The following is a 26,408-nucleotide window of genomic DNA, read 5'->3' on the forward strand; positions in this document are numbered from 1 at the left end:
CCTAAAAATATTGTAGGCCTTAGGCACTGTTCCTGCTGGATGAGTCAGGCTTGAGAATTGTCAAGGCACAATCTATTTTCTGCAAGACCAAAACCTTCTTGAGAGTTATGTACTTTGTACTCCCCTTCTACCTTACTCACTTAAAATCTCTTGTATGTAGTATTGGTTCAATAATGTCTGTTGAATGAATGAATACATTATTAATTTCAAGATTCTCAAATACCTTGTTCGAGGACAAACATGAATAGCTGCACTAAAGGACATTTACTTTTCTTCCAAAGATCTAACCAAATTAATACAAATTATTGAAATAAATCGAAATACCAGAATGTGATAGAAAGAACTCTTTATGTTAGGTCTCTTGCCAGTAAGTAGCAGTGAAGCCGGTCATTTCGTAACTTTGGGCCTCAATTTCTAAATTAGTAAGAAAAATATTAGTTAAAATGATGGGGTTCTATACATACTTCTAATCAGAAGCCAGAGAAAATAGCTAAAATTTTTATAATTTTATAAGGTTATGAAATACTTAATCGGTTTTCAAAACAGCCTCAGTGGTAAATCTCCCAAGTTCATTTAAAAGTTAAACTCTCTCAGAAATGTTAATCATGGCAGATATGGTTACAGACTACATAATATGCTTTCAAAGGACAGTACATGAGCCCCTTCTAAGAGCAAAACAAATCAGAAAGTTCTTAAAATTCAATAAGAATCCTAATAAGCCACCTAACTCAATTTTCTTCCAACATAATCCTCTTCTTGGAGAATATTATTACCTGCTTTTTGTCATATCCTACTTGAAAGCTTTAGTACCCTAACCACAATGTTTTCTTTTACCAGGAATTTTGTCTAACCCAATGTACAATTAATAGAAAAGACATGACACAATTAATATATCACATAGTCAGTGATACCCACATAAGACTGTATGAGTGTAAATATTTAAAAAATAACTTACCAAACAAATATGCAGACTACTATCCATTTGCTATTAAATCAGGGATAAGAGCTTCTATTTTACCTGGTACTACTTCCAATTGAATTAAAAAAACCCATCACCATAAAAAAGGTAGGTTGGGCCAGTCACTTTTAAATTATAGAAATTTCTATCATTTTGTCTAATGGAATAATAGACAACTCAGGAAAAGGCCAGGCAGCACATTTCTGAAATACAGAACTGGATCGATGTGCTATGATTTTCATTTCAAGAGTGAGTAGACGTGAAAAACTGAAATTAGTTTGTCCGCAAGTCTCTCTCCTTTCTTTGCAGTTTGTGCTGTTCTTTCCTTGGAAGAGAAGAGTTGTGTAGGCTGACAATGCTGGTTCCCAGTACCCTCACCCCTCTCTGCCATTTCCCTCCATCCTGGATAAAAGAAGGCAGATTTATCAGTAGAAACTGAATGTGGCTGTGGAAAGCATTTTACCATTTGTCCCCTAAATATCATTTCATAGAGGATTCTTCTCTGGCATGGAGATCATATGTTTTGGATATTCCAGGAAAGTGTGAATTTCACATATTCTATTCCTCTGTCAGGCATGTGTACTGGTTTTGGGTTAGGGGTAGAATACCCACTTACTCCGGGTAGGTCTCTAAGCATGATAGTACATTTTTGGGTGCTAACCAAGACTCAGCCATGAAAGATCTGGGAAAAATGTAGCATTAATCACGGGGCCAGGACATATTAAGAAGAAATTTCTCACACATGTGATTCTAAACTGCACATTCTTAAACAGGTTTTCCATCTCAATTTTCAATGGACTTTATTGACTTAGTCCATTGCATGAAGGCTCAAGGTGATTTTGCTTTGAAACACTCAAAGAGAGCCTTATTGAAATATGTTATTGATGTTGAAAATGACGCTGGATAAGAATAGCTGTCCTAAATGGATCTTTGACCCCTTAATGTAATCAAGATTATCAGGGATTTTTTTCCCCCTCTTGAGGCAACGGTTTTGTCATGGAAAAAAATGAGTGAGAACAATCAGAATGTTTTCTAGATTAGATACTAGGTGTCGGAATACAGAAGATGTCTGTTCTGGCAGACTGATTATTTTTCCAATACCAAGTACAGTACAGTTTCTGGTTTACAATCCCCGCCTTCCCTGGTGCCAGGTTGCTTTGCCTGAAAACTCCCATCCCAGGAACTTGAAGCACCATTCAATACAGCTACAGTATACAGGGCAAAGCTCCATTTCAAAGGTCAATGTATAATGAGATAGGAAGAATCAGCTTCTAGAAGGGTATGAAGTCCATATTTGAATGGTTCTCAAACTTATATTCTGAAGGGAAACTTATTACTTTTGTTTCTTTTCCCAAATTTGGTCTTCCCAGATGTTAAGGATCCTGGTGTCAAATTGGAACCCAGCCTACTTGACGTTGAAGTCTCCAGAATATAGTTTGGCTTCAGGGAATGTAGCTGCCTTGTGCGGTATCTGGAAGAGGCTTCTTTGATTGTGACTTTTACTATGTGGCCAGTTCTGATGGTCTGGTGTATTTTCAGAAGAATGTTGAACGTAAGGTTAATCAGGGAGATTTTAATTTATTGGGCACTATAGACGTGAAACTTTTTAAAAGCTGATGAAAATATTTGAAAACTGGAAAAAATTATAGGCTACAAAATAGAAATACACTGCAAAATGAAAGTTTCAAAAACAAAATTATAAAAATCCTTTTGCAGCATAAAGAAAAATGTTATGTTTAGGATGAGATTGGGTATGTATGTATGTATTAACATGTTTGGTATGATGTGGGCAGAGCAGGAAGGGCTCAGCTATGAACCTCTTACTGTGGCCCTGCGGCTGGGCATATTGAGATACAGCAATAGATACTTCTGGGTTTAAATAAACACTTTTTCTTTTCTGGATAAAAGTTTATTGTTTCTGGTTTGCCTCTCAACAAGAGATACTAGTAATACCAGCTTCGATCTAAAAACTTCAATTTCCTATGACAGCAACTGAACAATGTCTTGAAATTCCATCATTGTTAGACTGGGTGGGAAAATTCTAGCTGAACCTGCTTCTTTTATTAAGAGGATTGGGCTTTGTGACCTCAGAGAAGAATTTTGGCAAAACAGATATGCTGATTCTAGTCCTGGTAGCAATTGCTGGGCTCTCAGCAACTCTTCATGTGGGCTCTTCCCTTCCCCCTTTCAAAACTTGCAATTAACCCTGGGTAAGAGCCTTTTTTATTGAAATTCAGTTGAGGGACCCATAATTTAACTGTACGTCAGGAAACAAGAGAGACAGAAACTAGGAGTTTTGCCAGACACCGGGGAACAGCTTTATATTATCACGGAATCCTCAAGTTGGAAGGGGCTTTCAAAATCCTCCTGCTCAACCCCCACACTCTACAGATGAAGGAAGGCAGGAAGGCCAAGATGAGAAGTTACTTACTCCAGGTCTTAGAGGTGATTTGTGATTTGTGGCAGAGAAAGGATTAGCAAACAGGCTCCTGACCTTCTGTCTCACTCCATGCTGACTGAGAGTGGAAGAAAAAATAAAGTCCACTTTGGTGTGGAAATGCTTTCTACTAAGATTAGAGGAGAATGAATCATTGGAATTTTTTTTTTTTTTTAAACAGTGATTCAGAGCAAACTGCGTAGAGTATGCAAGATACAGGGAAACACTGAATCCTGGGGCTGACAGTTTACATCCTGGCTGTTTACCAAGTGTGTATAGACATGGAGTCTTTTGATTCTGCTTGTTGAATAATTATATTTGATCTTAAAATCTCCCCAGCTATACTGTGATAGGTTTTGTGCCTTACAGTTTATGAAGTCTCCAGTTATTAGTGTGGGCAAAGTCTTGTTGTATATAGAGAACAGCTTGTAAATTTTTTGCTCTGAGAATCTCCAAGGTGAAATCCACTCATATATACTCATTGCTAATAGGAATAATGATAGATTCTGTGCTTTTCTTATTAAGTGTTGAGTTGATTTGGATGCAGCAGTTCTGCAATTTCCTAAAATACATCTTTGTGTTTCAGTAATGGAAAGCTCAGAAATTCTCTACAGAGATATTCTCTCACTTTTAAGCCCCACCTGCTATTTAGGCAAGGCAAATATTCCACTGGTGGAAGATGTAACTCAGGGCTAATAATCTGCTTTTCAGAAATGTTATTTCCAAGATATTGACAGAATGACTTCAAACTCCTGAGCAAAGCATAGGGAGACGGATTTCCTAAGAGGCAGAGTGTTTTCTTTAAAAAGCTCTGCAACAAGCCCAGGTTATCTTTTACAGTCTGGAAGATAGCAGTTTAACCAAGATAAAAAGCTGTAAATGGTTATTAATCTACAACAGCCATTACTTTTGCACTGGGACATGATTTTTCCACTGAGCCCAAGCCTGTTCCAGGTTGGATTTCTGATTTCTTTCCATTGAATGAAAGGACAGGGCTGTTTTTACCAATATAATGACACTTCCTTTTCAACAAACAACAGAGCAAAGGCCCTTGTTTTTGTACTCTTGTCTCTACATAACTTTGCTTTTGTGGTGCAATGAATGGCACAGTTGTCCTCTTCTTTATGTTTTAAAAAATCATACTTTTGCTAAGTTGCTAGGAACTATATACATTTTAGTTTACTTCATAAACAACTGAAATAATAAAATTCCTATTTTTCTGTTCTTGAGGGACTAAGGGCCCTTTTAAAAAGCACTTACTGTCTCTCTCTCTGTGATTTTAATTTTAATTTCCTCATTCAAAAATGACAATAACAATATTACTTCAAAGGGTTATTGGGAGGGGTAAATGAAATAATATGTGTCTGAGAAAGTATATGTTAGTTGTCCCTTTTGTACAAATGAATGAAATGATTTACTCAATTGAAATCCATGTTGGCCAAACTTCAGCTCCGGATTAGACACTGATGAATAACTTTTTTTTTTCTTTTTATAGGTCCATCTTGAAAATCTTACTGTGATTCATGAATATAAATATTCAGTATCTTTCACTGTATCTATGCCCACTATTGAGCAGGTCTATATTTTCAGTCCTGTTTATATGCTATTTACAATGATCGTCAAACACACTTAAGCAATTCCTTTTTATTCCTCATGCAATGGGAAGTAAGCAAACATTCCATGAGGTTCATTTTATGAAGCAATAAAAGAAAGTTAGTCATCAAATAAAATAAAATGGTAAAATCAAGAGACTTACTTATTCAAACTGTTTACAATCTTTCAAATAAAAATAAAAATGATTTTATAGAAAACAGATATTGAAGTAATACAACCTTTAAGCTTCCACTTGCATCCCAGATTGGACCCCACCTAGAAGAAATTTGGAATAGAGTGAATTGAATTTAGTGGTTGACTCATAATCTGGGCAAGAGACTTTTAGTCTTTCCCTTCCTGTAGTTTGCTGATTTCCCTAGAACACTTACTGCCCTTCAGAACAAGCAGGCTTCTATGGTAACCAGTGAAGTAAATGGACCCCGTTGCCAGGAAAGGTACATGAAACAAAACCAAAACAAGGCAGACAGGAAGACAGGGGCTTCCCTAGCGGTTGAATTAAGAGTTGTCAGGGGAAACATAGAAATACAATTATGAAACAGCTCAGTGCGATGTGTTAATATTGATTGTGATAATGATAGCAGTAGCATATGGATTAATATGTGGTAAAAGCTGCGGCCTTTTTCTTTCCTTTTAGAACTTTGCCTTTGATTACATATGCACAGATTTCTATGACACTGTTCAATAACTAACATCTATTGAGAACCAACTATTTGCCAAAATTTTACATTTAGTTTTAAAAACCATTATAGCCACCTTAAAAGTACATTGTGATACTAATTTTACAGATTCTTCCAAACTCAGTTTATCAGCCATCCCTGATAAGCCACTTAGGTCTCTCAGTCAAATGGTCCAGTGGAATCCTGTGGAGCTCTTAGAACGTTTGTAATTATGCAATTAATGATCATAATACTTAAAGTTTAATGTTCATGTTCTCTGCCAGTTTTTAGAGTGAGACAAGCACAATGCCTTGTTCACTGGCCCATCTCTAGAGCCTGGCATGGTAGCTGGCACACAGTGAAAGCTCAGTAGACACCTTTGGCTGAGATATAAAAAGACCAAGGCTTTCTGACTTTTGCTCAATTGTACACAAGTATTGAAACCTCAGCCAGGGGCTTTTCACTAAACACTCTGCCTGAGATGTTGTTTTGTCTTAAGAATTCAGAGTACATAGACATTCTATCCTCTTGGGTATTAATCACATTTCAGTAATCTAAAAAAGAGAAATAGTATTTTCCCTCTACTTTAAAGATGCAAAAAAAGAGTTTAGTGTCTTGCCTGAAGTCACACATGCTCTGTAATAATAAATAGGTTGATGATGATAACAATGGTAATGACTTACAAAAACATGGCAGGACTGGACTCCTAGCTTCCAGCTGCACGCTCTTTAGACAAAGATTTCCCAAACTTTTCCTTACCATATTTGACTGATTTAAAAAATATATATGTAAAATTCTACCATAATTGTTTTTACATTTGTCAATTTTTTTTCTTTTTTTGCCCTCTCTTTGAGGGCAACAACTTTATCTTTTCTCTATTTTCTCATGTTGGATTCTTTCACTTACATGCCAATTCAGTAAATGTGTGCTAAATGAATCCTGTTGCCAACATCCTTATGACTGCATGTGCTGGTTAGTATCTTTCTTCTTTTACTTGTGTCAGAATAGTGTAGGTTATCCTGTGATAACAACTCTAAAATTTCAGGTTATTTCTCATTCATGGTGTCAGGGAGAGCTTTGCTTATCACTGTCACATACGGAGTAAGGCTGAAGGAGACTCTGTCATTTTATGACACTGCCATCTAATGACGTCAGGCTTCAGGGTTCACCCCAGCAGGGGATGAGAAAGAGCTGGCAAGTCAAACACAAGCCATAGAAGCCTTAGTCCAGAGTGTCATTCACATGCCTTTGGGCAAAATGAGTCACATGGCAGCATCTAACTTCAAGGGAACATGGAAATGTAATCTCCTTTCTAACCAAAAGTAAATAATTAGAAATTGGTGGACATTAACAATGCCTATCATACAACCATCATCTATGGAGTCAGGCTTTGTGAAAGAAAGAAGGTAGATGCAGATAGGAAGCCAAAGGGGGAAAAAAAAGAGAGAAGATCTGGGAGGGGGAAAGATGGATAGGGAAAGGAGAGAGGAATAGCTCAACTGCTATTCTGACAAGATTAGCTCCATTTCCAAAGGAGAACTAAGCCCTTAAATAAACCAGTCTTGTCTTACCTGTGCCTCCGGATCATGCACATGACTCATTAGTGAGTTGATTATATTTTACCATTGTTGTTCATATTTTGTCGATGTTCTTATACCATTGTGGGTCATGGTTCATTGGGACAGACAATTTTTAAGGTTTCCTGGATTGTCTTTCATGCATGAGGTATAGAACTATAAAGATTGCTGCCTTCAACTTGAGGTAGGTGTGACAAAGAAATAAAACTAAGAAGTAGAGGTGTGTTTGCCATTGGAATGCGTCATTACTGTCTTCCTCATCTTTCTTTCACTAAGTAAAGTTTCTAACTATACTCCTTCCTTGCTGGGGTTGAATACCACAGAGGAAAGAGTTGTGAATATCTTATTTATCATTGTATTCTCAGAGTCTACAAGTACCAGGCAAATAGGTAGTGCTCAGTAGATAACTGCTCATTGGTGGCTTGAAAGGGGCAGCTTAGCAGGCCCAGTTATAGCATTTTTTTTTTTTTTTTTTTTTTTTTTTTTGAGACGGAGTCTCGCTCTGTTGCCCAGGCTGGAGTGCAGTGGCGGGATCTCGGGTCATTGCAAGCTCCACCTCCCGGGTTCACGCCATTCTCCTGCCTCAGCCTCCCAAGTAGCTGGGACTACAGGCGCCCGCCACTACGCCCGGCTAATTTTTTGTATTTTTAGTAGAGACGGGGTTTCACCGTTTTTAGCCGGGATGGTCTCGATCTCCTGACCTCGTGATCCGCCCGCCTCGGCCTCCCAAAGTGCTGGGATTACAGGCGTGAGCCACCGCGCCCGGCCGTATAGCATTTGTAATTAAAGGTTTATTTCCCAAAGTGGGCTCTTTGGGGAAGGGAATTGCAGAACTACTGAAGTTACCTTTCATCTGATGAGTTGTGCTGTAGGCAAGTTAAATAGGGAGGCTGTTTTTAATCTTTGAGTTGGGCCTTGGCAAGATTTGCTCAGTTGTTTTCTTTTCAGTTGGTAGTTTGGAAGTCCCAGCAGTATAGCTTATGGCTGACAGTCAATTAGTTGTGAATTTATTTTTAATCTTCAGCAAATGTCCCTTGTGAACAAACAAAGGGTGCATGATAATTACCATCAACTACTGTCTCTTCAACTCCCCTGTGTGCTTGGCAAAAGTACTGTGCAAAACAGACAAAATATAGTTCTAGTGTAAGGGATCTGACAGAGCAAATAAGGATCATTAACTTTGCCATAGTTTTTAAAAATAATTATTTTATGTGGGAGAGTGATTTTCTTATTATCTGATAAAGTGCTTCACGGAGGGCTAGAGATAGAAAGAAGATTATAAAAGAAAGAGGAATAAAGATAGAGCATGTAAATACCCAAAGGGGTCCTTTGATTACTGTACAAGTTTAATAATTAGAAAATAATATGATTACCAGTTGATGATGATAGTTTATGGAGGAGTTGATAAGAGGAACATTTTTGGTAACATTCTGGTACTTTTGTATGCTCATTTAACTGTCCAACTGCTATAGAATAAATGTTAGAATATATTTGATAGCCAAAGTATAATTCTGAGGCTGTTTCATTCATTAAAAAATAAAGAAAAGGAATAACATTATGTTTGTTATGTACAGAAACCCTTTCCTCATCCTTCAATCAGGGACAAACATCTACTCAATTGTAAATAAACCTTTAAAAATATATCTTTATCTGATTGAAAATAAAATTTTGGTGATAACTTCTGTTTGTGAATAGAAGCTTTTTCCAATTAAAGTGTTTAAAGATACTCATATACTTCAGAACAAATGGGTATTTGGTTTTTAATTTCTAGTTTTTGAATCCAGGATTATTTTTGCATCTTTAGGGGCACCAGTTTGATTGTTTTAGGTGTAGGTAACAAATAATTTACCAGCTGATGAGAACAATGAATTCTGGATATTTTTGTGATATTGTATCTGCCTTTAAAGCCTAAAAAATATTTCTTGAACAAAAATATCTTGGAAATATTAATCACTGGTAAAAAGCAAGTTGCTTTTAAAAAAATACCACACTAACAAGGGACTAAATCATTACCATTTCTTTCCTTTACCCTTCATCCCACTGAAAATAAGTCTATTTTTGCCAAATATATCCTATGAAAGATAGATAATCCTGAGGTTGGCTCTGTGGACAATTTGAAATTCCAGAAAAGCCATGAACTTAAAAGAGGACAGGGTTACTATCAAGCCCTAGGAGAAGAAGGAGGAAATAAATAAACTGTTTCTCCCCACTCAAGGGCATAATAAAGAAATATTTAATCTTATTATAATCTTGCATTTTTATATTTTAAATAAGAAACTTTGAGGTACACTTTTTAATGTGCAGCTGTGATGAGATTTGATACGGAACACAATGTTCTGTTATTCCAGAAATGTGACTAAAAAGAGAGAAAAAAAGTTCTGTTTAGAACAAAATAAAGAGCACAGCCCAAAGCCACACACAGGCAAATGTGTGTGAATGTGAACACATTTTAACATTTTTCTTAAAATTAGACTTTGATGGCAGTTGCTCTGCTTAAGGGGACAGTGTCCTTGCTCTGGGATGTGGCTGTGAGGTCACCTTATCCAATTCGTAAATGTGGGAATCTTTTACCAGTCTCCAGTTTTCTTCACCCTTAGGGAGACAGCCTAACACTCAAAGGAAGGGGTCTGGGGCAGTGGAAAGACCAAGGGTTCTGGAATCTGTCAGCCTTGATGAACTCACTCTTTACTATTTCGTTACGTGACCTTGGGTCAGTCTCATAGGCCCTCTGAGACCTAATTTCCTTATCTGTAATGTAGAAATAGTAGTATCTTCCTTGTAGGAGTTTTCATAAGGATTAAATGAGACAATAAGTAAACTATTTCTAGTATTATAGAATAACTGAACATCATATCTTGGTGCAATTTGTATGTGATCAGTTGTGAGCTCTATTTGCTCTTTTATTAATTTATTTAATTATTTACTCATTTGAAAAATATGAATTGAGCCCCTGCTATGTGCTAGATTCTGAGTCTACAAGTCTGTGTTAGATAGACATGGTCCCTATCCTTACTGAAGTACAAAATCATGGAGGCAAATGACAGACCTGCAAACATTAATTACAATACAGTGAGATGCATTAGTTTCCAAATAACTTGTAAGCATTATGGTACTAAATCCTGAGAAAAATTTATTTTTAAATTTAAGTAATGTATTCGAGGTAATAGTATAATTTTACTTTCATTTATTTATTGTCCACAATGCCATTTTTCCCTGCAAAGAAGTGGAAGTGGAAACACTGTGGAAGAATATATCTCCCTAGAAACAATAGATGTTGGCCTAGCATGTAGTTAGTGCTAAGTGAATAGCAATTAAGATGATGATGATAATGGTGATGATGATGATGATGATGAGAAAAGTGCCTTGGAACAATGCTACTGGCAATGCAACCCTGGCAGTGTTTTATTGAGATGTTTTGCCATAAAAACCACATACAGAATAAGCCAAATATTCTATGCATTTTTCTGGTCTACAAACTCAAATACAGAAAACAGAATTTTATTTCCCCTCTAGAATCTGAATTGTAAATTAAGCTATGGAAATAGAATCAGTATTAAGAAAATATGCCTGTTAAAAGAGATTCTCCTTATAGAAATGCTTTATATATACGGACACATGTTTTAGAGACCTTTGGAAAGTGTTTCTGGGCTCTCAGCATCTCCCTGGCTGATAGGAGCAGACCAGGGACTCTGCTGAGCTTTCTGCCTGTGGCTCTATCTCAGGGCATTTGTTGCATTACCTTCCCCCAGTTCTTGGCACACAGGCAGCAGGGACACCATGAGGCTTCCTGAGAGTACCCATCTGGCCTGGCACAAACACCACCCACTGCCCTTAAGTTCTCACTCAGATGTCATGGAAACCTTGCTGATGCCAGTTCCATTGTTGAAGCAGTCTCCTCAGCCACAGAGACTAAATTGCCATAGTTTTCCCAAAGAAGCTTAAGGTCATGGAAACTCTAGGGTAAAAGGTGCAGAAACATAATCCACATCCTTTAAGAGGATACAGGTGGGAACGGCCCATTATATACATTCTGGAGTTATTTGCTAAATTATCTTTCCAGGACAGATTGCCCCCAAAAAGATGAGGTGAGTCTATCAGGCACAGCTATTAATGTATAAAACCACTTTTTTTTTCTCCTGAAGTTCAGAGACCAACTATAGAAACACTACTTTGTATGGTTCTTTTTCTTTTAAACTGATAATATCAGAAACCAACTATAGAAACATTACTTTGTATGGTTCTGTTTCTTTTAAACTGATAATATCACACAATTTGGCAGAGATTTCTGTGTTTTTCGCAAGGGTGAATAATATTGTGATAAATAATTTTATACTATGTTATATTTTCAGGTATTTGTAGTCCCTGGAACTTGGAACATGTATACCTAGATAATATGTATCAAGGTGTACCTCATTTTAAAAATAAAACCTTTCATTGTGAAAAATTTTAAACTTATATAAAAGTTGGTAGAATTGTATAATTGACTGCCATTACTTATCACCTGGGGTCAACAATTATCCACGCATAGACAATAAATTTTCATCTAATTCCCTATCTACTTCACCTCCCATATTATTTTGAAGCAAGTCCTGGACATGATATGATTTTATTCATAAAATAAAGTATTAAGTATGTATCTTTAAAAGATAAAGGCTTGTTGTTATTATAATCACAATACCATCATCAAAGCCAGAAATTAAAATAATTCCTTAATATCATAAAATATTCATATCCAGTAAGTGTTCAAGTTTTCGATTATATTATCAATGCCATAATTTATTTTATGATTCTTTTTCTAAAAATTAAAATGGAAGCCAAAGCCACACAGTGTGATTGGTTGATATGTCTTTTAAATGTTTACTAAATTGTAGATTCTCTCTCCATCCTTTTTACCCCTTCTGGTTTCTTTGTAGAACAAACTGGGTTATTTGTCTTGCAATGTTTCCCACAGTCTTGATTGTGCTGATTGTATGCCTGCAGAGTATATTAACAAGTTTCTACATCTTTCGTATAACAAGCATTACATCTTTCTTGCAAGTTGGTAGTTGCATATATGAGCTTGATTAAATTCAGGTTAGATACTTTTTTTTGATGTGACTACTTCATAGTGATGCTATGAACTTCCTTCCTTCCTCTCCTCTCCTCTCCTCTCCTCTCCTCCTTCCCTTTTCCTTTCCCTTTCTTTCCCTTTCCTTTTCTTTCTACTTTCCAAAACAAGGTCTCTCTCTGTTGCCTAGACTGGAATGCAATGGTGCAATCATAGCTCACTGTAGCCTTGAACTCCTGAACTCAAGGGATCCTCTTGCCCCTGTCTCCTGAGTAACTGGGATTACAGGTTCTCACCACCACACTAAGCTAATTTTTAATTTTTTAATATAGACACGATCTTGCTACGTTGTCCAGGCTGGTCTTGAACTCCTGGCCTCAAGTGATCCCCTGCCACTGCCTCCCAAAGTGCTGGGATTACTGGCATGAACCACTGCACCTGGCCTGATTCTGTGCTTTTTCTATCATCAGGCATGAGATGTTTAGTTGACTCTCTTTTGGTGATCTCAGCAGCTACTGATGTTCAATTAATGAACCATTAATTCACTACAATTTGCAAAATTGTGATATTCTAATTCTATGATTTCTTCTTCACTTATTACCTGAAACATTTTTATAAGTGAAATTTTCCTTATTGATTATATAGTAATTCAATTCACATATGGAATCCTGGATAAAGGCTTGATTTTTTTTTTATTTTTTGCCTTTTTTTACCCAGTGGTCACCAAGTATATGTTTTTGTAAGTATAATTATGCCCCATGAATTCAAACATATTTTTTGTTAAACTTTTTGCCTTTTGTAAAATTATTAACGCTCAAATTGTCCCAGTTTTTGTGAAATGGAACAGGAGTTTCTTCAAGTTGACTCTTGCATCCTGCTGATATGAACCTTGTAGTATATGATAGTTTCCTTGCTATCCGGTTTGACAAGATGCTGCAGACTCATCTTGTATATTTTCTATCCCAGTCCTTTTAGTTTTTCGAGAATGGTATTAGAAATTATAATCCAGACATAGGAATGCTAATGGATCTATGTATATCATGTATGTATGTATGTGTATGCATTTATGTATATATACATATACACATAATATACATATTTTAAGAAATATATCTTTTAAAAAGATAAGCTATATTATGATTCCTACTGACACTTCCAGTTCAAATTTAGGCGCACAAGTTTTTTAAATTTAACTTCTTCTATCTTTCACTTATGTCTTCTTTTTTTTTTGGTTCCTGAGAATCCTGGTTCTCAAGGTTGTCAGAAACAATTAAATTAAAATATTGCACATACTACACAATTTTCTCTGCTCTCCCTTTTTCACTGAAGAATGTGTCTTTCTCTAGGTGGTTCATTTTATTTGTTTCTTCTATTTTTAAAGTATATATTTTTGGTATTAATAAAGGCTTGCTCTTTTGTTTTAATTTTTATGCTAACATTAAAAAAATTACCCATTCCTGTTCTGCCCCTGCCTTTGTTGTCTATTGAGTCCATTCTATGAGATATATTGATATTAGCTAGTATTCTGCATCAATTTAATCAGTATTAAAATAATTGGATTTATTTTAGTAACTATAAGATAATCATCAAGATTATTCTACTTTTCTGATAGCGTCCCCATTCTGCCATTTTTATAGTTGTAATATAGGTATATTGTCACAGCAAATATAATTATATACTATATATATATTTCTTACAAACTTCATTTTGTCATAAGATTGTGAATATATATGGTATTTTGTCTTCTCCTGTTTGGATTTTGGAATTCAGAGGATATCTTGTCATCTGATTTTGTTGTATATGTTTTGGGATCTTAATTGCTTTTTATTTTGAAGAAAGATTTATTTAGGGGGCTTCAAAAACTATACCATTACCACCACCTTCTCAGAATTCTCAAAATTGCATGAGTGTTGAGTGGTTTTCTCTTAACTCTTTATTTTATATAAGCTGCATTATTTTTAGTGCATGCTTTTGCAGGATGTGTTGTTCTGGGGAATGTATATGCGGTATTTTATCAGAAATACCTATTGTGGCAGCATCTCATAAACAGACTTAAACGGAGCATTTTGAAAGAGACATCATTATAAAGCACGTTAAGCACTTATGATTGAATAAGTATTATTTCTGTGTTGTTTCAATTTGCATCCTCAGAGAATGACATACTCCTTGGGTACATAAACATAAATATGTAATTAGAAATAAGGAGAAAGAGGAGGAAGAAGAGAAGGGGAAGGAGAAAGAGAAAATATAATATTTTCTCTTATAATATAAAGAACAAACTTTAAACTTTGTTCTGATAATTTATCAGTTCTTAGTAGAGCAATAATGTACTGGGTTTAGTATCATTAGTAGTAATAATGAGATTTCTTGCTTTAAGCAAATCCCTTATTTTAGAAGAAAAGTAAAATGTTAACTCTTAGGAATTATTATGCAATAACAAAGAGCAGTAAAATTTTATAGTGGTTGGACCAACTCCAGTGGCTTTCTGGTTTGTGAAAAGTTCAGTAAAAATTGAATAAATGGCTCACATAATGGGAAGTTTAAGTAATAAAATGGGGGGTAGGGTGGGGAGATGAGGCTTTCCCCCTTCCCTGCCGTGTACATAGTAGAGTTGCTGGTGATTTTTGCCTTAGGTTATAGTACTGTGCTCATTATAGGCATAGACAGATTATCATAATTATAAAAGTGCAAGTTTGGTGTAAAAAATAAAAAAAATACATGATGGTAGAGCCTCCGGGCTTAAAAAAAAAAACTTGGGATATCTTATTAAACGTATTGTTTTCCAACTAGTCTCATCTTTGCTCCCTTGGTGCTTAGAAAGAAAACTCCAAGTAGAATAATGATAACTACCATATGTTGGTTCTTACCATAAAGCTAAGAGCTAAGCAGTCTACATATAGGTGTCTCATTTGGTCTTCCCAACAGCACGATGAAAGACATATGTGAGGAAAGTAATGTACAGAGATGTTAGATGACTTGTTTAAGGTCACAGAGATGGTGAATTGTGGAGCCTGGGTTTGAATCTAGGTTAGTCTGACTCCTGAACTGCATTCTATGCCAGTGTATGAAAGAGTCTTCAGAAAACCACATAGTTTAATGTGAGAAAGTGAAGCTTTAAAAGAGATTCTAGTCCTTTCCAAGCTAAGTTTAATTTAGGGAGGCAGGGAGTGTGTACACTGTGCAGAAAATACAGTTCTTACCTGAGGGTATCACAGTCCCCATTCAGTTGACATTCAGCAGAAGATCAACTCAGTTGTTTGGCTATCTCAGTTCAGCAAGCTCTTCTAAGCCAGAGGTTGGAACATAAAAATGATTGAGACATCTCTCCGCCCTTGTGTCCAGTGGAGGGGCAGGTTACATAAATAGATGTTTGTGAAAATCAAAGTAGAAGCTCAGTCCTAGAGAACTCTGAGGATAGCCTGTGAGCTGCAAGTCTGAGGAAGCCGAAAGGAGAATGGTGAGTAATGGGAGTTTCCCTAGGGGTGACCAGCTTGTCTGGTTTGCCTGGGACTTCCCCAGTTTTAGTACTAAAAGTCCCACATCCTAGGTGATCCCTTAGTCCCTGGCAAACTGAAATGGTTGACCACATAAGTTTCTGCTGGTTTGGAGAATTGCTAATTTCCATTAGGGAACTGGGGGATTCCTAGTCAGTCCTTGTTGAGAAATTAATATTCATGAGCATCACCCTAAAAATGATAACCTAATCTTCTATGAGAAATATTTTGGTTAAGCAAGCTTGATTTGCTACTGTTTTCAATTGGGAGTTCAATAAATTTGCTTTGTTTTCTTGTGTGGTAGGAATCCATGTTGTCATCAGGGATCTTGCAAACTCAAGTGTGAAGACAGAGGCAATCCTGCATGGGTCCCATCAAGATAATGGGCACACAAACTGCTTGTGAGGGAGCAGACTGTTTAATGAATAAGGAATTAGGTTACACAGGCACCATGTTCAAAAGTCAGCTGGCAGAGTTTCAACAACCTCGTCATCACTAGAACAGTCCTGGGTGTGCAATCCTATAATGCCTGGGCAGGGTGACCAGGTTTAATGTACTCTTTTACAGCTCATGGGTATGGGGCTTATCACATGCTTCAGCAAGAGCACCCTTTTATTATTTTGAAACTTATAGTGTCACCTTAACGTTTTATGACAAGCCTTGTCCATCACATCACCACTATAAAAATGTCAATAACTTAGAGAGTTGCTTTTTCAAATATTTTGTCACATAATTAAAATTTTATTCTTCTTTTCACTTTTCCTTTTTTCCTCCCTTGAGAGCCCTTCTTTATTTTTCTTTTTTTCTTTCTTTTTTCTTTTCTTTTTTCTACCTCTCTGTCTTCCTTTCTCTTTTTCTTTCCCTTTCTCCCTCCATCTATCCTCTCCACTTTCTTTTATCCTTTCTTCCTTTTTGAAGGAAGAGGGGATTTTGATTCTCTTCAGATGCAACTCTCCTTCCCTGTCACATGCATCTTCTCAAAAACTTAAGCTAGGAGGGTGACTTGCTGAGACCTTAACTAGAGTTTTGTTTTCATTTCCGTACCAAGAAGTCTCCCTGAGTATCTTGCATCAAAGGAGGTAGATGAAAAGGGAGTTATTGGCCAAAAGAAATGGCATGCATCCTTCTTGCTCTTCTAAAGAATGTACAGGTCTTCGATGTTCTATGGCCTGGGTACATCCTGAGGGGCCCTTAAGTTCTAATATTGGTGATGAGAAATAGCATGATCTCTTTTGTGTTGGAATGAAAGAGAGGAGCTGGATTCTGAGGAGAATTGAAAGTTTTTGTCAATTTTGTTTTTTTGTTGTTATTGAAAAGAGGGGGAGGGGTTGGGGAGAGAAGGGAAAGACGGGCAGAGCTCGGGTAGTGGGACACTTCTAATACTTGAGTCCTATCCCTAAGTTAATTCTGATATCGTCAGTAGTTTCAGAGTTTCTAGGATCACTGACTCCAGAAAAGGGCTGCATCGAAGGTCCTCTTATGAATGCCTAGAGCAACTTGATTAGAAAATCCATCTTTATACCCCTTCTTGGAGACCTATTAGTAGTTCTGGCTGTCCCAACATAACAGCAGAATCCTACTCTGATCTGGGTTTCTGGAAGCCCCCTGTGAACCATCATACCCTGGATGACAAACTCCAGTAGCACTGGGGAGAGAGCACTTAATGACAAGTAGACCCCCGAAGGGCTATAGAAGGAGCTTGTTTATCTTAAATATGGGTGGGATGGGGGGGAAATGGGGCACTTTTGTACACCTTGAGAGATCTGTGGGCAGAAGAGACAGGCTACCTCTGTTACACACTAAGAACTGACAAGAATGAGACAATAAAACACTCCGTTACACACTAAAAACTCATAAGAATGAGCCTTTACACATATTGTCTGTGTTAGGAGTATATGGGAGACTGGCACCTACTAATGGAAAGGAAGAGTGGAAATTCTAGCTCTGTTGTCTTCCAGTAGCCATTTACCTGCCCTGTAAAGGTGGCTCTCAACTCAAGACTCAAGAGTCTCTGTTCTTGAGGTTCTTTTTGTTTGTTTGTTTTTGTTTTTTAATTTGTGATGTGATCTCTTTGAGTTTCTTAGTGTGATTCTTCTGTTTTGTAATTTAGGAAGCTGCTACACTTCTGGGGATGATAAATATTATTTAAATTAAAAATTACATTCAATTTTAAACTGACTTTTTAGAAAAATTCCATTTAAACCTCCCACCTCATATATAAGGATAGTTCCCACACTTGGGACCTGAACTTCCAATTGAATTCAGATGACTGAATGTATCCTGCAAATAATGCACAGAGCTTATGAGAAAAAGTCCAAACTCTCTCTGCCATGGGCGTGAACCGTTGAACCATGATACCTCATTACCTTCACACTCTGGTTACTGTTGGAAAAATTAGACTGCCTAACCAGTTTAACCAGACAGGCCTCCAGGAAGTGACCCTTTCTCCTCCCCTCTTACCCACTTAAAACCATAGATTCTTGATTACTTTTAAAGGAAGAAAATCAGTTCCTTGCCAAAGGATTTTATGACTGTGTTAACTAGTCAATAAACGAAGTGACTATGAAAAAGAACTTTTCCACCCCTCTACTGGAGAACAATGGAATCACCAATCATCATACAATAGTGATTTTACACTCACAATTTCAATTCTGCCAACAGCGGAGAATTTCTCCTTTGCCATAGGAACATGATTAAATTTTACTTAATTTCTCTGTAGGATGCCTGAGAAAAATACCACCTTGAATGAAGGAACATTTAAAATAAGCACTTTGAATAAATAGAATGTCTTTTTATAGGATCAAATATGTCCCATTTTGGAAAATAGCTAGGCACAAAATATTGGGTAGCTCTATCATTGAAATTTTGGTTTAGGAATGAAAAAAAAAGCATAGACAGTAGGGAAAAAGAAAAAAAAATTATTCCCCCCTTGCTGAAAATTTTACTGTGGGCAAAACTCCCATGTTTTTGATGGTAGTAAGACTCCAGTCTTGGGGCTTGGCTTGAAAAGTATGAAAAATAACCATAAAATAAAATATATTAGAATTAGAAATAATGGGAACATAGTGACTATGATTTAAGTCTTAAGTCCAAGTCTTGGGGCAAGAATATTTACTTTACTGAGCTGTGGTATAAGAAATACTAGCTCTCCCTGCTCCCCGCCAAAAAAGAAAAAAAAAACTTTATATTGATTTCCTTCAACTAATTCCTAGGATGCTGTCTTGAGTATTGTGCATGTACCCAAATTTGTTTGAGGTAGTAAAGTAGAAACTAATGCCATCTCATATATGGGAGAGGAAATGAATAAAACATAGAAATTCCTCCCTTTCTTTCTACCTACAGAGACATTTTCTTCCTGGGGTAATGTAATATCCAACTAAAACAGAGGCACAAACCAAAACCTAGGCCTGGGTCTGAGATACTATGAAAACAGTGCGGTAACATAAGCTTCTCACTGATAGTCCGAATACAAATATTTAAAAATTCAAATGGATAGTCAGGTTTTGTATCTATAAACACAACATTTGTTAAACATACAAGCATGCTATTAAAAATCACTGTACAAAAATATCGAATACTCATTCATCTTACTTTGAAACACTAATAACACTATTTATTGACATACTGGTTCTGTATTACATAAAGGGCAGGGATTATACTAAGGAAGAAGAGATAATAATGAAAATTTTATAAATGTTTTCTTAAAGGATCTGATCAAAATCAGTTTTTGCAAGGCTATAAATTAAAAAAAATTGGCAGAAGGAGTAGGCAAATTACAGTGTTCAGGAATTTTATTCTTCCGCCCTTGTTTTTCAGTGCTGAGAAGCACAATCACCCTCAACCCTGCAGGGAGATGGAATGCAATTCTTTTCTAGGCTTGAAAACTTCTAAAAATACTTTCAGTGCTATAATTTCTGTTTATAGATATATACCAAGAATAAAAATTAAATAAATTTAATGGCATCTCATCATATTGCAATGTATACAAACTATCTTGCAAAATATTCAAAGGTGGTTTATGATGGGGAAAAGAAACCTTTATGATGGCAATATATAGATAAGCAGAAGTAATTCAGAAAAAGCAAGTCAGACCAGACACAAAAAAACATCTTGGATTTGCTGACTATAAAAGTCATTATACTATACACTCTTTGAAGAAACTAAAAAGCCAGCAGTGGCTTTGATGAAGGGAATAGGGCATAAAAGTGAGAAAGGTGTAACATGGCTTGTCTTCCTTCTTGCCTTTTTTCATTTATTTATTTATTTATTTATTTATTTATTTATTTATTTATTTATTTTGAGACAGAGTCTCGCTCTGTTGCCCAGACCGGAGTGCAGTGGCACAATCTCGGCTCACTGCAACCTCTGCCTCCTGGGTTCAAGCGATTCTCCTGCCTCAACCTCCCAGGTAGCTGGGACTACAAGCATGTGCCATCACGCCTGGCTAATTTTTTATATTTTTAGTAGAGACGGGGTTTCACTGTGTTAGTCAGGATAGTCTCGATCTCCTGACCTCATGGTCCACCTGCCTCGGCCTCCCAAAGTGCTGGGATTACAGGCGTGAGCCACCGCACCTGGCCTCCTTCATTTATTTTTCAACAAACATTTCTCAAGCATCTATGATTGTGTTAGGTCTTCTGTGGATGAGGATGGCTGGACAAGAGAATATATCCAAAGGCAGAGGAGAAGCATCTGAAAAGATAGGCTCAGTTTAGACTGCCGACAATACTGAATGTCAGACTAAATTATGATAATAACTAATATTCATTCATTTAGTGCTTGGCTTTTCTAAATGATTTTTGTATACTGACTGAATTCTTTCAACTACCTTAGAGGTAAGTGCTATTATTACCTCCTTATTATAGGTAAGGAAACCAAGGCACTGAGACCCTGGGCAAGTTTTTTAATCTCTCAGTGCCTGGCAGAGTTAGAATTTGAATTCCAGGGAATGTGGTTTTACAATGTGTTTTTGACCGTGATGCTACACTGTGAAATGATTTCAACTTTATTCTTCAGGCCATCAGGACCCATTTTGCTGTTGGGCTTAGTTTTTCTTTTTTCTTTTCTTTTCTTCGTCAGTTCCCTCACCTGTAAAGTAAGAGTAATAATAAAATACCTACCTGACAGAGTTGTAGTGAGGATCAGATAAGAGAATACATGGGAAATTGTTTTGAAAGTTTACTTCAAATTGCTTTGAAATGTGCCACATGGCATTATGAGTATTGTGTTCAAGTAGTAAATATGAAACAAGTGTTCAAATAAGGAAAAGCTTGAGTTGTCACTGTTTACCAATGGGTACAGCCTTTGCGATATTAGCAGATATATGTCAGCCCTGAATGAATAAATGAAAACATATTAGTAAAGGAAGGACACATTTGAGTGAGAGGAAATAATGACAGCCATAATGGTGATTCTACTGTGGATACTTCGATCTGTGAATCACATATTGTTGAGTGCCTATTCTGTAATAGATATCTGACCAGATTCTATATGTGGTCTCTGTCCTCATGTGCTTGCAGTCCGTGACCCTTATGATTTGTACCACATTTCATGGCTCATGAAAGGCTCTAAAAACCTTTATCACATGTGGTTCTATCATCCCTTGAGAAACCTGCATGGGAGGTAAAATTATTCTTGTTTTTCAGATCAGGAGTTTGAGGCTCAGAGCTTGAGTGACTTGTCCAATACCACACAGTGGGCAGAAGCATCAGGACTGAAACCCAAATCTCTTGCTCTTCCGAACACCATTCTTTCTGCAACACCAGGCTGCCTCAATCACCATCATTATCATGATAATAATAGCTGAGCACTTCATGCCAGACATTGTTCTGAGTGCTTACATGAATTAGCTTATTCAGCCTTTACAACAAACTCCTGCAAGGTATATCCTGTATTGCCTTTGTGAAGTACTAGGCTGTATGTTGAAGTAGAGTGATGTCCTTTGACACACGTTGGCAGACTTTTCTTAGCTTGATATTACCTTCTCTGAGGACATTCAATTCTATAATTAATGAATCTGCACACTGGAGGTAAGAGGTGGGGGCTTGGAACAGGAAAGTCTTTCCAACCTGATGTGATATTAACAGTGGAAAGGAACATTCCTTCTTCCGAAAGGAGAAGAAAGATTAGCACTGTCCATAGTTGAAATCTCCTCCTCAAAAACACAGCTCTGTGTTCCTTCTATAGCAGTAGTAGCCTGGCTAGATCACTGGAGAATCAATCTCACAGCTAAGTCTGCCTCTGTTACCTCAAGATGTGAAAAAGCTGAGATGGCCCCTTCCTTGACATACTAGCCTGGATCAAGGTAGAACATGAACAGCAGAAAATGGAACAAGTGAGTGACAGCCCTCAGCCAGAAAACTGAAACGTGGCACCCTTTGACCTTATCAGTAAAAGTTCTTTTTAAGAAACAGAAGGATTGTTCAAGGGAACAACGAGAACTGATAATTGATGATAATTAAACAGTCATAGGGAGAATGAAAGTTAAAAAATAAACTCTAGGACATTTATCGAGACCTTTATGGGGGTGAAGGTCACAGCCTATATTTAACAGCAAATTTCCAAAGACATTTAATAGAAAAGAGAAACTCTTGAGATATTTGATCTCCTCTTCATTCTAACTCCTCAACCCTGTAACCCTGGGACCTCAGCCGTGGAATACACATGTGTCAAATCAGGTAACTGAGACTGTCCTGGTGTTGCATGCCTCTTCTGCCAAGGAAGAACTGAGAATTGCATACTCATTTGCTCAGTAAAATGCCATGCTAAAAGTCTAATTTGGAGAACCAATACCTTGTTTTTTCTAATGGTATATTGTCTTCTCAATTCTAGAAGGGTGTGTGTGTGTGTGCATATTTGGTGGTGGAGGAGGTAAAGGAGGGTGTGGGTTGGCGTAGGGAAAAGGCTACTTCTCCATGTTAGGAGTAAATTTTTATTTTTTTGATTCTATCATTTAATTCACTTAATTTCTTTAAAAGTACAGTTTTTCTTTTCACTAGCAGTATTCCTGAGAAATCAAAACAACTGATTAATCTTATTTTTTAAATGTTCAATGTATTGACAATAGAGGAGAGACAGATAACCCTGTAGCCAAAGTGATGTTGAACACTCGAAGTCAATTTTAGTTTAAAAAAAAAAGAAAAACTTCACACATTCTGTGTCTTAGTATGTTCTGGCTGCTATAACAAAATACCATAGAATTGATCACTTAAGGCTGGGCATGGTGGCTCCCACCTGTAATCCCAGCACTTTGGGAGTCCAAGGCAGGTGGATCACGAGGTCAGGAGTTTGAGACCAGCCTGACCAACATGGAGAAACCCCATCTCTACTAAAAACACAAAAATTAGCTAGGCTTGGTGGTGCATGCTTATAGTCCCAGCTACTCGGGAGGCTGAGGCAGGAGAATCTCTTGAACCTGGGAGGCAAAGGTTGTGGTGAGCTGCGATCGAGCCACTGCACTCCAGCCTGGGCAACAGAGCGAGACTCCGTCTCAAAAAAAAAAAAAAAAAAAAAAGAATCTATCACTTAAACGACAGGGCACAGATCCCATCTTGGTCCCCACCTCCATGACCTCATCTAAACCTAATTACCTCCCCAGAACTCTACCTCTGAATATTATCACATTAGAGGGCTAGAGGGCAGAGCTTCAACCTGTGAATTGGTTGGAGGGAAGATACAAACATTCACTCTGCAAATGTATTTTATTGTAAGGAAGAAATACTAAATGAATTAATCAAGTAAAATAATATAAATGCAGTTCATTTTTCTCCATAATAAAGAACCATTAATAAACTGTTAAAACACAATAATTTTCCCTGGGCTTCTGTGTGTGCTCAAGATTCACCACCCTTTTCTCTTATGACTTAATTATGACAGTGTAGCACGTGGATGTTGCCTTTGACTTCCCAACATCTTTTCTACCCTCCCCCAGTATGTGGCTTTAGTGTACTTTGACCTCAGCTTCCAGGTGAACTTTGATTTGCTGTATCCAATCGTAGAATCCTACTCCCCTTGCTAGCAACTGCTTAAGAACCCAGAAGTAAGCCAATTATTTCATAACTTTCCTCTGGAGCCAGTTAATGGCTCAGGGTTGAATATGTGAGACCTTTTGGCCAAACCAGATTGAGGAAGGACTTATGTTCCGTGGTTGGGGAAGATGCACGCTTTATTTCCCTTTAGATGTGAGGAAGGGGAACATGTAGCCTGGCTTATCACTGGCAATCATCTTGCAATCACAAAACTGGAGAGAAGAAAAGAGTATACGTCCTCAATCATATTATTGACTTGCTTGAGAAGCTGTTATGTTTATTCTTCGCTGCACATTCATTTATTTGATCCAATAAATTTCCTTATTGGCTTTTTAATTACTTGTTTAAAAAATGTGATGACATACACAAATAGTACAAGTCTTGGTGATGAACATAGTGGATCTAAAGAGAAACTTAAAATTCATGAAACATTTGCATCACTTTCTGTAAAAAACAAGTAAATACAGATTAAAATATTATTTCACTTGAAAATTTAAATTTGTACACAATAGATTCACTCTCAACACCAGAGGGTGGGGACAATATCTAGGTTTACTTTCTGTTTCCAGTACCTACTATGGAAATTGAATAATTTGTCTCTACAAAATTTAGTTTAATTAATATAGTATTTATTATTATGTATTTAGATTGCTTGTATTAACTCAGTGGTTTGAAATATCTTCGGAATTATAACATTCTGTTGCTCAATTTGGATTACTTAGAACTCTTAATGAGCTCACAGCTTAGTCGGGGAGACAGCTATAAATAAACATTTATGATATAAAGTGATAGACACAAAAATAAAATGCTTCCAAGGCGTGGAGGAAGGAGTACCTGGCTCTGACTGCAGTGTGGTCTTGTTGAGGAAATATTTCCTGATAATTGCATTCTTTAAAGTTGTGTAATAGTTTACCTGGCAGGCATGAGGGTTGGGGAGGTGAAGAGAGGGCCTTCTAGGCTAAGGGAACAGCGCATGCAATAACGCAGTTAAGTAGAAAATAAATCATGGCATGATTAAGAAAATCTAAGTAGTGTAACATTTTTGGAGAGGAAGAGAAAGGAACCAACATTTGTTGAACAACTAAGTTGTGTTAGGAGCTGAGCTAGATTGATTTAATTATTTAATTCTCCCCAAAATTCAAAGATTAAGAATATGCGGTTCAAATGGAATGGAAAATTTGGCTGTTTTGGCACAGCAAGTAAACAGTGGAGCTAGGATTTGAATCTGGGTTAGTTTGAGCTAATATTCAGGCTTTCTCACTAAAACATAATTCATATCTGAATCTTAGGTTACGTCTAGGCCATGGCAGGAGATAAGGTTCAAATTTAGGCAGTGCCTGATAGTAGGATCCCTGTGTGCAGTGGACAGTTGGAAACAAGGCCAAAGTAGAGATGATTTGGCGGGTAATAAACAATTTGATAGTTATCATCCTACTGGTTGTATTCATCACATATCTGTAGTCACAGTCATCCAATGATACCATTCAGGGTGAGAAGGGAGAAGGCCAAAACAAAGCTTGAAGAACACCAATAATTAAGGAATATTCATGGAAAAGGAACCAGAGAAAAGAGACTGAGGAAGAGTGACCAGAGAGTTAGGAAAGAGTAGGAGATGGAAGCCAAAGAGTTTAGAATTTCAGCCTAAAGGTGGCAGTTAAAATGCTTCAGGAGAAGATCACAGGCAATTAAGCTTCAGTAATATAAGTTCTCCCATCTCCATTCCAGTAAGTGATGGGTGGATATTATTAAAGGCAATTATTCCCAATCAATTTTTTTAAAAAAACATTCTTGCAAGTAGACTGGCCATCCAATGGGAACAAGATATTTCAGGGAACACTGATCTCAGGAATTCTATTGGAATCTCTAAGTTGGAAGATACCTTACCAGTCACCTTTATGTAGTGGATGAACTAGTTGTATACTTATGCCCAAACTTGCCCATCCGAGTATACAAGAAACTTATTCCTGATATCACTTAGGTTAGAGGGCTAGAAGACACCTGTCTTTTCTTGTTTACGTGACCATTTGCTCTTTAGAATATATCAGTAATAACAAAACAATAAACATTTCCAAATTTGTATCATTTTTGAGGTATCTTGTAGGTTTCAGTGCTCTTTCATACATATTTATGGTTTGATTCTCTCCTCAAGCTTGTGAATGAGACACAGAAATAAACAGCTCCATTTTACAGATGAGCAAACAAAAGTTCATTGAGGTTAATGTAAATTAACTTCAGGTCTCTTAAAGGTTAATTAATCAGGGCAGAAGAAAAAAATCAGCTCCGATAACTAACCTTCTTTTAATCACAGTACCATTAGATAGATGATTATATAATCTTGTGTACTGGTCTTTCCCTTTTCCTCACTTTGTTTTATGTAAAGCTTGCTTCTTCAATTCTGCAGTAATCCTCAAAGAATGCATTCAAGATTTATATCTCTTCTGGTGGAATCTAACAGTAAAGATGGGCCATGCCCAAGAGTCCTTTGTATGTCAGTTACCTGTAATTTGGACCACATTCCCTGGCTTGCAGTAGAGATTAAGAAATAAGTGTTGCTTATTTAAGTGAGTGAGCTCGCCTTTGAAGCTGGATAAAATGGTG

At 36.9% G+C, this 26,408-nt stretch overlaps 2 long non-coding RNA genes across 2 annotated transcripts in view, besides 2 other annotated features; both read left to right on the forward strand.

The window, feature by feature from the left end:
• The window catches only part of LOC105369890 (uncharacterized), a 192,148-nt gene that overhangs the window by 24,443 nt on the left and 141,297 nt on the right, over nt 1-26,408 (forward strand). The gene's annotated exons all lie outside the window — the stretch shown is intronic.
• LINC02399 (long intergenic non-protein coding RNA 2399) lies at nt 3,109-5,142 on the forward strand. Its single transcript, NR_135019.1, has 3 exons — nt 3,109-3,168; nt 3,577-3,664; nt 4,891-5,142. It is a non-coding gene; the product is annotated as a long intergenic non-protein coding RNA 2399 (long non-coding RNA).
• Nucleotides 15,647-15,876: an enhancer, noted in NCBI's record as "active region_6714". NCBI's record gives its function as "activates an Ori minimal core promoter by ATAC-STARR-seq in GM12878 lymphoblastoid cells {active_cell/tissue: GM12878}" and the evidence as "EXISTENCE:reporter gene assay evidence [ECO:0000049][PMID:35858748]".
• Nucleotides 21,337-21,877: an enhancer, noted in NCBI's record as "OCT4-NANOG hESC enhancer chr12:90359698-90360238 (GRCh37/hg19 assembly coordinates)". NCBI's record gives its function as "activates a minimal SCP1, AML or CMV promoter by ChIP-STARR-seq in primed H9 embryonic stem cells {active_cell/tissue: H9 hESC(primed)}" and the evidence as "EXISTENCE:reporter gene assay evidence [ECO:0000049][PMID:30033119]".

The sequence above is a fragment of the Homo sapiens genome, chromosome 12 (assembly GCF_000001405.40).
Source record: "Homo sapiens chromosome 12, GRCh38.p14 Primary Assembly".
Classification (NCBI taxonomy): domain Eukaryota; kingdom Metazoa; phylum Chordata; class Mammalia; order Primates; family Hominidae; genus Homo; species Homo sapiens.